General features: G+C 53.4%; 1 protein-coding gene and 1 long non-coding RNA gene across 8 annotated transcripts in view, besides 2 other annotated features; one reads left to right on the top strand and one right to left on the bottom strand.

The window, feature by feature from the left end:
- The window catches only part of CDH22 (cadherin 22), a 134,760-nt gene that overhangs the window by 93,205 nt on the left and 26,259 nt on the right, over positions 1-15,296 (top strand). For 5 of the 6 annotated variants that reach the window (XM_024451966.2, XM_047440373.1, NM_021248.3 and 2 more), the window contains exons 6-7: positions 2,106-2,299; positions 4,734-4,987. In XM_024451966.2, coding sequence (XP_024307734.1) covers positions 2,106-2,299; positions 4,734-4,987 — 448 coding nt within the window. The remainder of the gene's footprint in view (positions 1-2,105; positions 2,300-4,733; positions 4,988-15,296) is intronic. The other variant, XM_047440374.1, reaches the window with a different exon arrangement.
- Positions 2,522-14,167, bottom strand: LOC124904916 (uncharacterized). Of its 2 annotated transcripts, none has more exons than XR_007067611.1 (3): positions 9,055-10,433; positions 8,081-8,519; positions 2,522-2,850 (listed from the first exon to the last, which is right to left on the bottom strand). It is a non-coding gene; the product is annotated as an uncharacterized LOC124904916 (long non-coding RNA). The 2 variants fall into 2 exon arrangements; XR_007067612.1 differs by lacking the exon at positions 2,522-2,850 and adding an exon at positions 14,067-14,167 and having other exon boundaries at positions 8,435-8,519; positions 9,055-9,337.
- Positions 7,050-7,344: a silencer, noted in NCBI's record as "tiled region #13247; K562 Repressive DNase matched - State 10:DNaseD". NCBI's record gives its function as "represses a minimal TATA promoter and a strong SV40 promoter by Sharpr-MPRA in K562 cells {active_cell/tissue: K562}" and the evidence as "EXISTENCE:reporter gene assay evidence [ECO:0000049][PMID:27701403]".
- Positions 9,105-9,184: an enhancer, noted in NCBI's record as "active region_17968". NCBI's record gives its function as "activates an Ori minimal core promoter by ATAC-STARR-seq in GM12878 lymphoblastoid cells {active_cell/tissue: GM12878}" and the evidence as "EXISTENCE:reporter gene assay evidence [ECO:0000049][PMID:35858748]".

Here is a 15,296-nt window from a genome sequence, read left to right as displayed (position 1 = left end):
ATAATTATCTATTCTGGGGGTGGTGGACACTGGCATTATTTCCAGTTTGGGGCCATTGGGAAGGAGACTGCTTTGAACCTTATTGCCCCAGGTCTCCAGGTGCCCATTTGCACTTGTTCTCTATGGATACAGAGGAGTGAAATTGCTGGGTCATGGGATGTACTCATCTTTAGCTTTACCAAATAAAGCCAAACTGTTTTCCCCCATGAGGAAACGCACATGTCCATTGTACCACATCCTCACTGACTCCTGGTACTGTCACGTTCTTTGATTTGTGTTAATCTGGTGAGTGTCTACTGGTAACTCATGCTGGTTTTCATTCATACACTCACTAGTCCCTCACACATTTCATTTATGCGACAGCCTGGCATTCTGCCAGGCACTGGGAATGCCTGATGAATAAGAGATGTGGTCCCTTTCTTCCAGCAGCTCATACCCAAGAGAGAGAATAAACAGAAAATGAGAGTAAAAACGCAGTAATTCTAACAATGGGATAAGCTTGGGGGCCAAGGGAGCACAGGAGCAGAGCCTGGAGGTCTGGGAAGGTTCCCTGGAGGAGGTAACATTCAGTGAGACTAGAAGGCAGAGCGGGAATTGGGAAGGCAAAGGCAGAGAGGAGGACAGGGAGAGGGGATGCCTGGAGGTGAGAGAGAGTGAGTCAGTTGCAGAATCACAAGAACTTCAGCAAGGCTGAAGCTAGAGATGGAGTGGGGATTGGAGGATGAGGCTGGAGAAGCCAGAAGGGGCCAGGCAGTGTTTTGTAGGGCAGGCCAAGGGACTTGCACAACTCCATCCCAAGGGCAATGGGGAGCTATAAAAGGGATTAAAGCAGGGGAGTGGCATGTTCATCTCGTGTTTCAGAAAGTGCCCCACCCCGGCTGCTGTATGAGGATGAATCAGAGGCAGCCACTCCACGCAAGGGTTACCAAGACCTGTGGAGCCCCCAAGAGACACATCCCCACAGACCCTGCTTCAGCTAGGCTGGCCCATCACTTAGCAAGTCATCCTCACCTCGACCTCAGCTCTGGTTGGAGAGCAAGCTGCAGCCTCCATCCCATCTGATCTCATTCCTTCTGGTTTCCCCTCTGCTCCTCCCCTCCAGCCACACAGCCATCTTGCCATTCTTCCAACATGCCAGGCACAGCACCCACCTCAGGGCCTTTGCACCTGCTGCTCCCTCTGTCTAGAATACTCTTTCCCAAATATCTGCTTGGCTCGCTCCCTCCCCACCTTCTGACTTTTGCAGAAATGTCATCTTCTCTGCAAGGCCTTTCTAGATCAGCCTATTTAAAACTGCGCAACACCCTCATCAGCACTCCCACACCTTCCCTGCTTTATCTCTCTCCTAAGTACCTATCACCATTGGACATACCATATGTTTCACTGATGTGATTGTTTAGTGTCTTTCCCTTTCTATTAAGAGGAAAGCAACATGAGAGCTGAGATTTTGGTCCATTTTATTTGTTGCTGTAACCGCAGTGTCTAGAACCGCATGATGTCTGGGGGCATCATAGGTGCTCAATGTATACATTGAAATGAAGGAATAACTACCGTTAACATCAACAGCAAAATCACTATGAAGCCCCACCATTTTAACACAATTTATTCTATTTCTTGAGTAGCTACCAAGTGCCAGGCACTGTACTAAGCATGTTACAGGCGTCATCATCTAAGTTAGTTGCCATAAACACACAGCTGTTAGGAAGGCACCATCGTTATTTATTTCCATTTTACAGAGGAGGAAACTGAGGCTCAGGGTTACACAGCTAGGACTGACTCCGGAGTCTTAGCCTTTATCACTGTGCTCCTCTGTCCCTGTCACTGGCTAGGTAGGGAAACTGAGGCCCAAAGAACTGCAGGCATTTTACCAAATCAACCAGTGAATAAACCCAAAGGTCAGAATTTAAACCCTCCTTTTGCACTGCCACCCAAACTTCTGCAGGGGACATTCCTCTCCCAGCCCCCATTCTGGCCAAGCTGAGAGCCCCTTTCAGGCACTGTCCTCCATAGAGGCTCACCTGGGCCCCCTTGTCCCCTCCCCCACTGCTGGCAGAGGCTGGGGAAGGGGCTGCCTTCATCCCTGCTCATGGCCGTGTCCCCCACAGAGATGTACCAGTTCAGCATCCAGGAGTCAGCCCCCATTGGAACGGCTGTGGGACGTGTGAAGGCTGAGGACTCAGACGTGGGAGAGAACACAGACATGACTTACCACCTTAAGGACGAGAGCAGCAGCGGCGGCGATGTGTTCAAGGTCACCACAGACAGCGACACTCAGGAGGCCATCATCGTAGTGCAGAAGGTGCAGCTGCCTCAGGAGGAATGGGGGAGGCAGGCCTCAGGGGTGGGAGGATCAGGGAGGCCTCTGGGCAGCCGAATACCCCCACCTCACTCCACTCAATGGATTAGTTCTCTCTAGAGGTCCAGGACCAACCTGGAAAAACACTGATGGTATCATTCCCCTTTTGCAAACCAGGCATAGAGAGGTGAAGTGACCTGTCTGAGGTTGCACAGCTGGTTCTCAGAGCCAGGGTTCAATCCAGATGGGAATCCACACCCTCAAACACTCTGACGTGTGCTTCACATCCTTGCCAGCCTCTTCACACTCCTCATTGCCTTTAATCCTCATATTTCCCTCTGAAGCTGAGGTTACTATCCTCATTTTTATAACTGAGAAAATAGATGCTGAGAGAGGTAAAGGGGCTTACCCAAGGTCACACCTGTAAGGCACATGGTAGAGATTTGAACCCAGGTCTAGTGACTCCAAAGCTCTTTCCTTCCTGAGTCTAACAGCCTTCCTTGCCCACTGGCTGGCCCAGGAACCAGAAACTCAAACTGCAAACTCAGCGATCCCTAGGGAGGTCAAATAAAGAGGCAAAAATCCATCTTCCAGGATTTGGTCAGGGGCTTGGCAACTCAGGGCTGCAAAGGCCATTAAGACCACCCACTCCGACCCCACTCTCCCATGGGAGGTCTAAGTCCCCTGCACTGGCCCACAAGTGGTCATAGGCCTTTGTTTGTATATCTCCAGCGACAGAATGCTCACTTTCTGCCACTGTCCAGCTCTTCTTCCTCCCATTCAGCCGGCATCTGTCTCCTTAAATCTGTGCCTATCAGCCTGAGCTCTGCCTTCCAACATCTGCCCTCAACAGTCCTTCTTTTGCTCAGCAAGCACATAATGACCCGCTCTTTACCTGGCATTGAGGGCTTGAGGATAGACAAAATGCCCAGTTCCTTCAGCTCCTTTCCAGAGGATAATAATATAATAGCTACTACTTGTGATAAAGTGCTTGCCACATGCCAGGCACCCTTCAACTACTTTCTGCGTATTAACTCATTTGATCCCTTCATCAACCCTCTGAGATGCTGTAATCGTTCATTTTATAGATGAGAAACTGAGGCCCCAAGAAGTTCGGTAACTTTCCCAAGGCCATGCATCTAGTATCGTTCAGTAGGGATACGGGCTCAGGGGGTCCAGCTCTAGAATCTCCCTTTTTTAAGCACTAGTGATTTTCAGTCTTTTGATCTCCGTTCATCCTTAACTGTTAGATGAGCCCATTTTACAGATGGAGAATTGGAGGCCCAGAGAAACCCAGCTTCACAGAGCAGCAGAATCAGGCTTCAAACTCAGCCCGGGGACTCCAGCACAGCATTTGCTCTCATCCCCTGGGCTGCTTAATCTCCCCCACCCCCAGCTCTCAGGCCCCCTCCTGCCGCCCACTCCAGCAGTGGCGCCTAGGGTGTCTCTGCGGAGTCGGTGATGGCTCAGGGAGCAGACTGATGGCCTGGCTCCAGAGTCCACCACTCACTCCTAGGCCAGGCCACCGCCTGCCTCCCTGCATCCTGATTTCCCAGGCAACAGGCTGGAGGCAGGACACGGCTGTTTTTGCTGCTGGAGAAGTCGGGGGTGGGGGATTCTGAGAGCAATGGGGGGACCCCATACACAGGGTAGGCACCTGCCTGTGAGTCTCCTGGAAGGTCACTCTTGCCAATCAGATCGCTCCCCCACCATGTAGCTGAGGTCCCTGCAGCTCCACGACATGGCTTTTTCGTTGCTATAGGCAGTGTCTTTAGACGGTCAGAGCTAACACACAGCCATGGAGCTCATTCATCAGAGGGTCACCCATTAGCACCCCCCGATAAGAAGCACAGGCTCAGCATGGATTTAGCCAGATCTCAGAGGAAAGCTCTAAGGCAGCCCGGCTTATCGGGCTCAACTCACATTAGTTGCTAACTCCTGCATACCAGGGAATCCTGGCTCTGCTAGGGACTCACTCACTGCCCGGTGACTTGGGCAAGTTACTGAGCCTTTCTGGGCCTCGTTTTCCTCATGTGTAAGATCAGATCATAAGAATACAAGCCTCTTAGGGTTGATGTCAAGTTGAGTTAATATACTTAAAGCACTGGCACACAGTAGGTGCTTTGTGTTCGTGAACTAAACTAATGAAATATGCCGCCAACACTGCGCTGGGAAGCAGGAAGTTTGGGTGCTCAGCGCGTTAGCCTGGAGTGGCTGTGTCCTTAGGCAAGACTGTCCTCGAGGATCCTCAGTTTCTCCACCCGTAACCCACCGGGTTGGTCTGGGTCAGTTCTGCAATGCAGCCCAAACATCCCTGCCGCCCCTGCTGAGACAACGTGTGACCTTGGGCCAACCCCGCCTGCCTTGGCCTCCCTCGTGAAGGCCTCAGTGTCCACCAGACCCCACCCACTAACCGGCCCTCTGCTCCCTCCCGCAGCGCCTGGACTTCGAATCCCAGCCCGTGCACACCGTGATCCTGGAGGCCCTCAACAAGTTCGTGGACCCCCGCTTCGCCGACCTGGGCACGTTCCGCGACCAGGCGATCGTGCGCGTGGCCGTGACCGACGTGGACGAGCCCCCCGAGTTCCGGCCGCCCTCCGGCCTCCTGGAGGTGCAGGAGGACGCGCAGGTGGGCTCCCTGGTCGGCGTGGTGACGGCGCGGGACCCCGACGCCGCCAACCGGCCCGTCCGGTGAGACCCCCGCCCGGGGCCGACGCCTGCTGCCTGCTATCCCGCCATCACCCCCGCGGACAGACTGCGGGCAGAGGGGAGGAGGGCTGGGGCGGGCAGGGCCGAAGGAAGGGGCTGCGTGGGGGAGGGAGGCGCGGAGAGAGGCGCACGGGTGGAGAGAAACAGGCACGGAGCCAAAGAGCCAAGGAAGCAGATGTGAGAACAGTCAATGAGACAGGCAGGCGAGCCAGGCCAATAAGGGAGAGAACCAGGAGGGACAGACACAGAGGCGGGCACTGCACTGGCGGGGTCTCCGCGCTGCTGGCTGCAGCCACACTGGCTCCCTGATCTCTCGACTGGGCCATCCCTGTGCCCAGGACTCCCCCAGTCTTCTCCCTGCACCCCCTTCCCTCTCATCATCTCCCTTGGTGTTCCGCTAGACACCTCAAACTTAAGTTCAGAACTGGGTTCCTGGTCTCTCCATCAAAAGAAAAAAAAAACCCACCAGTTTGCCTGCCGTTATCTCCATCTTGGGAATGACAGCTCTATCCTTCCAGTTGTTTAGGTTAAAAACGTTGGAGGCATCCTTGCCTCCTCTCATTCTCTCATGCCTCCCTTCAATCCATTAGCGAATTCTGCTGTCTCTACCTTAAAAATGGATCCAGAATCTGACCACTTCTCACCACCTCTGCTGCTACCACCTTGGTCCCGACCACCGTTTTCTCTTGCCTGGAGTATTGCAGTTGCCTCCTTGCTGGTGTCCCTGATTCTGTCCTCACCCCTCTTTAACCTAGAATTGTTGCAGGAGCCAGCCTGATCCTGCTCAAATGTGAACTAGAGCCTGGCCCTGCTCTGCCCAAGCCCTCCAAAGACACCTACTAGGCTCAGAATAAAAGCCCAAGCCCTTACAATGACAGCTCTGGCCTCCCTGAACCTCTCAGACCACACCTCCCTCTCCTTTCCAGTCCACTCTGCTGCAACCACACTGGCCCCCTCACAGCCTTGCAAACACACCACGCTCATCTGCACTCTGGGCCTGTGCTACAGCGGATCCCTCGGCCTAGAACGTTCTCGCCCTAATAGCCCCCATAGTTCGCTCTCTCACTTCCTCCAGGTCTTTGCTCAAAAGTCATCTTCTCAGTGAGACCTTCTCTGGCCACTCTTCCTAAAATTTCAACTCCACCCCAACCCTTAGCCCTGACTCTTCCTATCCCCTGTCTTCCTCTGCTGCTTCCTTATTACCTTTCATCACCATCTGACATGCTACCTGCTTTTCTGATTACCTTTTTTGTCTCTCCTACTGAAAGGTAAGCTGTCTGAGGGTAGGGATTTACGTCTATTTGTTCACCACTATACCCATAGGGCCTAGCCCAGGCCTCAGCACTCAGTGGACACGTGCTGAATATGTGGTGAATTAATGATATGTAAAAATAGAGGCCGGGTGTGGTGGCTCATGCCTGTAATCCCAGCACTTTGGGAGGCCGAGGCGGGCAGATCACCCGAGGTCAGGAGTTTGAGACCAGCCTGACCAACATGGTGAAACCCCGTCTCTACTAAAAATACAAAATTAGCCGGGTGTGGTAGCGCACACCTGTAGTCACAGCTACTCTGGAGGCTGAGGCAGGAGAATCGCTTGAACCCGGAGGCAGGGGTTGCAGTGAGCCGAGATTGCACCATTGCACTCTAGCCTGGGCAACGAGAGCAAAACTGTCTCAAAATAAATAAATTAATTAATTAATTAAAATAAACTAAAAAATAAAAATAAAGACTGAAAAAAGAGGCAGAAAAACAGACTCACAGAGATGTAGAGAGACCAACAATGAGAGGAAGAGACTGGAGAGAAAGAAAAGCCCATAAAAAGAGGACAGGAGGGACTGACCTGGCAATGTGGAAACAGAAGGGCACCTTGGAGAGGAAACCAGAAAAGGGAAGAAATAGACACAGACACAGGCAAGCCAGAGGCAGAGCAGGGATGGGGCAGCTGGGGTCCCTGGAAGGGTCTGGGAGCTGTAAGTATTGGGGAGTCTCTGACAGTAGCCTAGGCTGGAAGATGTTCAGATAGAAGAGGGAAGAAAGGCTGTAGAAGAAACTGATCCAGAGGAGGAGGTTAGGGGCTGGGGGGATGGCCAGTGTTAGAGGGATGGGAAGGAGGCACTGGGGCTCCCTGATTCATTCCCAAAACCCCTGTACCTATTCAATGAGTAACCCCTGAGCTGACTATGAGCCTAGCCCTGTGCTGGGCATTGAGGAGAGGGGGAGGGAAAGTTTATTTGAGGACCTCTGCATTGTGCAACTCCAGAGGGCAACGTTCCGTCATTGTCTGTCTGAATGGCTCTATCAGGATTGTGCAGTGCACAGCCTGTTCAACCTTACATGGCAGCCCTAAGTGAGACACACAGATGCTATCCTGCTTAACTGTTCATGGATTCTCAGACTGGGAGATAGCCCCAGGAGTCTGGGAAGACTTCTGAAGGAGGCAGGAATTGACCTGACCTAGGTATCTGGGTATGGTGTAAATATCAGGAGAGGCACATTCCAGACAGACGAACAGCTTGTGCAGAGGTATACAGGCAGAGGAGTGGTTGGTGTGCCTGAAGAAGAGCAGACTGTGATCGCTACAGGGGGCCGGGAAAGATGAGGCACAAAAGTGAAGTCTAACAGGGCCTCAGAGGCAGGCTGAGGAGCTCAGACTCTGTCCTGAAGCCGAGAATGCCCACGCTACTTTCACTACACTCGCTGCCAATGCCATCCTGTCACTGCCTCTGAACTCCTCCACTCCCTTCCACCCGGGCTGGTGGCATAGTCTCTGAACAACCCCCTTGGCCTCTGGCCTGGGCCCAGACCTCTCCAGGAAGGGCACTGTCACCTCTGTTTGTCTGGGAGTTGAGGCCCAGGGAGGGGAGGAGGATTCTGCAGGCTCTCCCAGGGAGGTAAGAACACGGAGCGGGAGGCGAGTCCTTGGCCCCAGGTCAGTCCTCCCATCTGCCAGCTCCCCTCCTCTCCAATTCCACTCTCCACACCCCCTCTCAGTCCTCTTCCTCCTCCCCGCTTTGGCTCCCTTCCCTCCTGCTTTTATCTGCACTGAAAGGGCCAACTTTGAAACCTGCTTCTCACCTTCTTTCATCTCTCTTTGCCGGCCCCTTCCCTGGGGCTCCTCAGATGTGGAGGCAGTGAGGAGCTGGAGACTGGTCCAATTTAACACCACAAACATTTACCCAGCTCCTCCTCCATGCCAGGCCCTGAGCCAGGCCTGGGGACACCAAGATGACTCAGCCAAGGACAGAACTGGGGTGGAGCTCCCAGACTGTGGGGTACAAAAATGGAAATGGGAGGCCATTGAGGGTCTGTGGGAGACAGAGAAGGGGTCCTCACAGGCCATGTGTGCTGCCAGAGTCCAGCTCGCTCTAAGGGTTCCATTCTGGCAGCACCTGCGTTCTCAGGGTCACAGGCTTAGGCAGCAACTCCGCATTGAGTTGTGCCCGGCACTGTTCTGTGCAGTGAGGAAGCAGAGATGATAAAACAGGATCCCTGCCCACGTGGAGTTTGCCTTCTCCTGCAGAGAGACAGACAGCAAATGGTTAAATGGAATAACTGCTGAAAGCACTATGAAGAAAATAGAGTGATAGGATAAGGAGGGATTGGGGCCACAGAGGGCCACTTTGAATTGAGTGGTCAGGGATGTGACACATGAGCTGAGATCAGAATGATGGGGAGCCATCCATGCAAAAATGTGAGGAAAAGCATTCCAGGTAGAGGGAACAGCAAGCAGAATGGCCCTGAGGCAGGAACAAGCTTGGCGTGTCCCTGGAAATGAAGACATGAGGTGGCATCCTGGGAGACTTTGCCTAGCATGGTTTGCAGGGCACAGTGAGTGCCTGGAAATTATAGGAAAGCAGACAGTACAGAGAGATTTTTTCTTAGCATCTGCACTGGAGATAGTAGAAGGTGCCTCATGTTACTACATTTACCCTTCAGAGGGTATTGTACTCATTTGACAGACGAAGAAACTGAGAGTCAGAGAGGGGAAATGACTTCCCAAAGCCACCCAGCTCAAAAGGGGAAGCACCGGGGTTTGACCCATGACTCACCACTTCCTGAATCCAGCCTTTGGCCATTTCACTCCTGCTTCTTACTCTCCTTGTGGTTAGTGCAGTTCCTAAACTGGTGCAGCGTCCTCCCCTGTGCACTGGCCACAGAGATGATGGCCTCAGACATGGGCCAGTGGGAAAGCTTGGCCCGTGTGAACGAATCCAGTGACAGGTCCAGGTCCAAGTGGGCTTGGGCTGAGGCAGGGGCTTGAGGAGCTCCAGGGAGGGGTGAGTAGTTTATGCACCAGGAAGGGGAGTGACAGAGGTTTGCCCCAAAAGGCCCCTGCAAGGGGACGAAGAGGACAAGGCTTGGAATGGGGAGAGTGTGCCCCAGGTTGGAGTGATGGGGAGGAGAGATGGCAGGGACAGAATCATGGAGCCAGGAGGTTAAGTTCAGGAGCAGCGAGACCAGCTGGACAAGCTCACGACAAGGGACAAGGGAGCACTTGGAGACAGGCTGCGAAGGACATTGAATGCCACATGAAGAAGTGGGACTTTATCCTCTAGGCAGTGGGAAGCCTTAGAAGGCTTGAGAAGGAGGCAGGAAAGTGCTCAGATGGGCCCACCTCTCAGTTAGGCAGGTTTGCAGATAGACTGGCCATTTATCAGCCCAGCCACGTTCCTACCTAGCCCCATTGTGAGTCTCCTTTGATCATCAAAAACAGCTAGTCCACACTGCAGCAGAGGAAGCGAACACTTCCTTTCTCCACCCAGCACTCCACAGTGTGGTGCAGCAGAAACTGCAAGGGCTTTGAAATCAGAGGAGACCTGGGTTCAAATCCCAGCTCAGTTGTGGAGTCTTGGGCAAGTCAATGCACCCCCTCTGAGCCTCGGTTTCCCCATCTCTAAAATAGACATCATAATAGTATGTGCCTCATTCATAGGTATTAAATGTCTACCACATACCAAGTTCTGTGCCTGGTGCTCTCAGGGTTGGAAGAAGGATTAAGTGCTTAGCATATAGCAGGCCCTCGAGAAATGGTCATTACCATTTTTCTTGGTGGTCTGCACACCCATTTTTTCCCTTTCATTCTGCAACTAGTGTTAACCACATACAATTTTCCAGGCATCATGTGTGGGCTTTTCTGTATATGCCTAAAGGGAGTGGGGGAAAAGAGTCACAGATAGGGTGGAGTGAGCAGAAAGGAATCCCTTGGTTGGGACAGTGGAGCAGGAGGCAGGCTGCTTTGTTTTGGAAGAGGCTCCCGAACTACACCCCGACACACACACACGAGCAGCTTGGGCGGCAGCTGCATCATTCAGTCAGCTGCTCGTATGTTCATGCACTCACACACAGGCACACCAGAAAGCCTGTATGTGCATAAGCCTGCAGCCTTCCCTATTTATTATGCCTGCATGCATTATATATGCACATATTTATGTAGAGGAAAACCACACGTGCACCCCAGCCAGGAAGCAGCACCCTCCCCATTTTCTCCACCCTAACCTTGACAACAGCAGCATTTTGTGCTGTTGCTAACACAGAAATGCTAGCAGGTGTACCTGGCTGGCTCCTTAAGAGGATGCTGTTAGACCTCCGGCTCTGAACAGACATGGGAGCTTGGCTCTGCCACTAACTAGCCCTGTGTGACCCAGGGCAAGATACCTGGCTTCTCCGAGCCTCAGTTTCCTCCTCTGTAAAATGAGAGTGATGACAGTATCTGAGGATTCGAAGAGCTCATGATACAAAGTCTTGCTCAACAAAGAAAAGTAAGAGCTAGTCTGTACACCAAGAACCATCTTAAGGATTTCTTGGTAGTCACTTGTCCGAACCTCACAACCAGCCTGTGAGGTAGGTATTACTATCTCTGTCTCTCTCTCTTTTTTTTTTTTTTTTTTTTTTTTTGAGACAGAGTCTCACACTATCTCCCCAGCCAGAGTGCAATGGCGCGATCTTGGCTCACTGCAATCTCTGCCTCCCGGGTTCATGCAATTCTCCTGCCTCAGCCTCATGAGTAGCTGGGATTACAGGCACATGCCACCACACCCAGCTAATTTTTTGTATTTTTAGTAGAGACGGAGTTTCACCACGTTGGCCAGGCTGGTCTCAAACTCCTGACCTCGTGATCCTCCCGCCTCAGCCTCCCAAAGTGCTGGGATTATAGGTGTGAGCCACCCTGCCCGGCCTACTATCTCCATTTTTAAGAGAAGGAAACTGAAGAACAGAGAGATTAGGTGACTTGCCCAAGGTCACACATCTAGGTTTCAAACCTAGGCAGATGGGCATCAGATCTGCACCCCTAAGCACCATTCCCAGGCCTCCCTTGCATGTGTGGGTGCACACACACACGAGCTGCCACAAACTCATATTCTCTCCCTATTCCCCCAGCCTCACCTGTTCTAGTTCCCCTTGCTGCCCTTCAGGTTGTTGTCACCAAATGAGAAGTAGGACTGCAAAATTTAAGCAGAACCTTCTAGACCCACAGCTTCCTCCTGTCCTTCTCAGACTACTGTGTCCCTACATCTTACCTCCCCGCCCCCAGGCATGCAAGCCACACACTGGGTTGGGGGGACTCCTGTGTACTCCCTGCCAGACATCTCTGAATAATAATTACAGTGACAATAGTTCCCATTCATGGAGTAATTTTCCTGGAACTCAGCTAGGCACCTTACATGCGTTTCATTCTCCCGACAACTTACAAAGTAGGATTATCATCTCTATTTTGCTGGGAATTAAAGATGGAAGTGACTTGCCTGGGGGCAATGCAGACCTGGATCCAGACCCAGGGCTGAGCTGCTGCCTCTTGAGCCACTGCTCAACTATAATGCACAATCTCACACACACAGGAACACCACTCACATATTCACGCCACACAAAACACACACTGTCCACCCACAACACAGACCAAATACACAACCCATGCGAGCACTACACGTGAGCTGCACAAGCTTCGCCCCCACCCCACCCCTCCACCCCTAAGTTTGCCAGGCCACAGTCCCTGCCACACACTGCTTCCTCCCACCCCTCCCTGCTTCCCTCCCTCCCACTCACTCTCTGGCTCCCTGAGCTGGAATAAAAACACCTGGGCTCAGCCAGCCAAACTGACCCCCAGCCCCAGGTCTTTAGCTAGTTAATGGCGGGTCCCCGCTGCCCCCGCCCTATGGCCTTAGGAACAGCTGCCTCCATTTAGATTCCAGCCCCTCCCTTCCCCTCGAGGAAAGAACAAAAGAGAAAAACAGGGCAAAGGAGAAGGAGGAAGAGGAGGAGGAGGAGCAGCAGCAGCATGGAGGGAGGAGAGAGGAGACAGCTCTGAGCCAAGAAGGGAGGAGAAACAACAAGAAGGCAGTTGGCATCCTCCCATCAGCCCGGCCTCTCGCCCAGCCCTGACGAGGGATCAGAAGCCCAGGCTATGTCATGTCTCTGGTCCTCTCCTGGCCTCTATCCTCCAACCTGTAGAATGGGAGGAGGTCTCCAAAGTTCTTTCCAGCTGAGCTGATGATGCTCAAGAGCCTCCTTCAACCTCCTTTGGACTCAGATATCTGATGGGGCCAGGCTGGGGCAAAGGGGACCCTGAAGCTTCATGCATCGAGGATTTGGCTGGTTCAACTTTGGATGGGCTGTCGGTCAGGCTAAAAAGAACTCTGGCGGCCGGGCATGGTGGCTCACACCTGTAATCCCAGCACTTTGGGAGGCCGAGGCGGGCGGATCACAAGGTCAGGAGATTGAGACCATCCTGGCTAACAAGGTGAAACCCCGTCTCTACTAAAAATACAAAAAATTAGCCGGGCGTGGTGGCGGGCGCCTGTAGTCCCAGCTACTCAGGAGTCTGAGGCAGGAGAATGGCATGAACCCAGGAGGCGGAGCTTGCAGTGAGCCGAGATCGCACCACTGCACTCCAGCCTGGGTGACAGAGCAAGACTCCGTCTCAAAAAAAAAAAAAAAATTAAACTCTGGGAGAGAATCCCCAATTTGGTTTCAAATTTCAGTTCTGTGACAGAGTCGCTGTACACCCTTGAGCAGGGCATCGGCATCACTAGCTCATTGTCACCTTTGTATAAATAAGAAACAGGCCCCCCTTTGATACTTCCTGGTCTAGGACACGTGGCTGGGCAAGCAGAAGGCTCGCTGGAATTCACCCCTGCTTCCCCACTTCGGCCTGGTATCTTTGTGCATGACACAACCTGCACAACCATACTTGGCAGCTCTAAGCTTGGCAAGTTTCCTCTCTGGACCTCAGTGTCTTCATCTGTAAAATGGGGGAGATCACATCAGCCTCATAAGATGCCTGACCGAGACCTCTTCTATCTCACTTGCCACTTTATCCCCAGAGTCTAGCACAGACCAGCACAGAGAAGGCACTCAATTAGTGTTTAGGGCATAAAGGAATGAATGGAGGGATGGTTGGGGGAGAAGCAGGCTCCAAACTGTTAGGTGCATGCTAGGGAGGAATTATAATCGTGGGTCTGAACCTCCCCACGTACTTTCGCCCAGGCTAGCGGGACTCAAGGTGGCCAGGGGCAAGAAGAATATGGGTTTAGCAGTTTAGGAACAGTATGGAGCATTAAACTGGGGGTTCAGGGGATCGGCTTATAATGCCCACTACACCCATAGGCACATCCCTTTATAGTTTGCCATAGGCATTCACCTCCAGGACAGTAAACATGAAAAGCATAAGGACTGTCCTGTATGCCCGCCCCTCCTCTAACACCACAATGTGGGGTGAGTAGGAGTCATCCTCTTTTTCAGGTGAGCAAACAGAAGCCAAGGAGTGACTTGCCCAAGGTCACACAGGTAGAATCAGTGGCAGAGGATTCAAACCCAGCTCTGACTGCTTTCAGACCCACGAAGTCCCAGTGGGTGTCAATATCCCCATTTCAGAGATGGGGGAGTTGAGGCCCAGAGAGGTTTGGCAATGCAGCCAAGGCCTCACAGACGGGTCATCTCAGGGCTCTGGGCCCCAGCAGGCAATGCTTCTGGGGTCCTCCCCTCCCCACTCTGGGAGACTACAAAAAGGCCCCTTTCCTCCTGCCTGTGGGAGGGGCCGGGTGGCTGCGCAGGGGCCCCTCCTTACCAGGCTGCTTTGTCCTGGCGCACAATGAGCGCTTGCTTGGCATTCGAGGCCTTTGTCCGCGCGCAGCCTCGCGGCGCCCCCACCAGCGTTATCAGCATGGGGAAGCGGAGGCCGGAGCTGGCGAGGCCTCTCTGGGCCGCCGCCGCCCGAGACATGTGTTGGACACGGGCCTTTAAGGCCTGGAGCCGCCACACAAAGGCCCGGGAAGAAGGCGGAACAAAGGGCTTTTTCACGCGGCAACGGAAAAGCTGCAGATTAGCTCGCGCGTGCTGCGCAGGCGGGAGGAGCCGGCGGCCGTGTCCCCAGGCCCCCTCCCACGGCACTCGCCCAGCGCGTGTCCCTGGGCGTGTCCACGCCGCGGCCCCCAGAGAAGCCTCCTAATGCCACAACTGCCCCCCTCTCCCCTGCTCAAAATTCCCCGTTGGCTCCCCAGTACACGCCAACTGTGCTGTGCCGGTGTGTTCTGGTGCCGAATTCTCCCCACTTCCCGGTTCGAACCATTTTGCAGTGTTTGCCATTTCTGGGATAATTCTCAGCCGCCGCGCCTTTGCACCTTCTGTTTCCCCTGCCCAGAACGCCACCCACACTCCCGGTCTCTGCCTTCAAGCTCAGTTCCAGGGGCACCTCTTAGGGAAAGATAAGAATCGGCAGGGTGCAGTGGTTCATGCCTGTAACCTCAACACTTTGGGAGGCCAAGGCGAGCGGATCGCTTGAGCTCAGTAGTTCGAGACCAGTGTGGGCAACATAGCGAAACCCTGTCTCTGAAAAAAAAAAAAAAAAAATTAGCTGGGCGTGGTGGCACGCACCTGCAGTCCCAGCTACTCGGGAGGCTCAGTGAGTCAGGAGGATGGCTTGAGCCCAGGAGATGGAGGCTGCAGTGAGCCGTGATGGCACCATTGCACTCTACCCAGGGTAACAGAGTGAGACCCTGGCTAAAGAAAGAAAGAAAAGAGGGCCGGGCGCGGTCGCTCACGCCTGTAATCCCAGGCACTTTGGGAGGCCAAGGCGGGCAGATCACGAGGTCAGGAGATCAAGACCATCCTGGCTAACACGGTGAAACCCCGTCTCTACTGAAAAATACAAAAAATTAGCCGGGCGTGGTGGCGGGCACCTGTAGTCCCAGCTACTCGGGAGACTGAGGCAGGAGAATGGCGTGAACCCGGGAGGCGGAGCTTGCAGTGAGCCAAGATGGTGCCATTGCACTCCAGCCTGGGCGAAAGTGCGAGACTC

This window comes from Homo sapiens, chromosome 20, assembly GCF_000001405.40.
Source record: "Homo sapiens chromosome 20, GRCh38.p14 Primary Assembly".
In the NCBI taxonomy this organism is placed as follows: Eukaryota; Metazoa; Chordata; class Mammalia; order Primates; family Hominidae; genus Homo; species Homo sapiens.
Note: the sequence above shows the minus strand (reverse complement) of the source record. Positions and strands in the feature narration are given on the sequence as shown.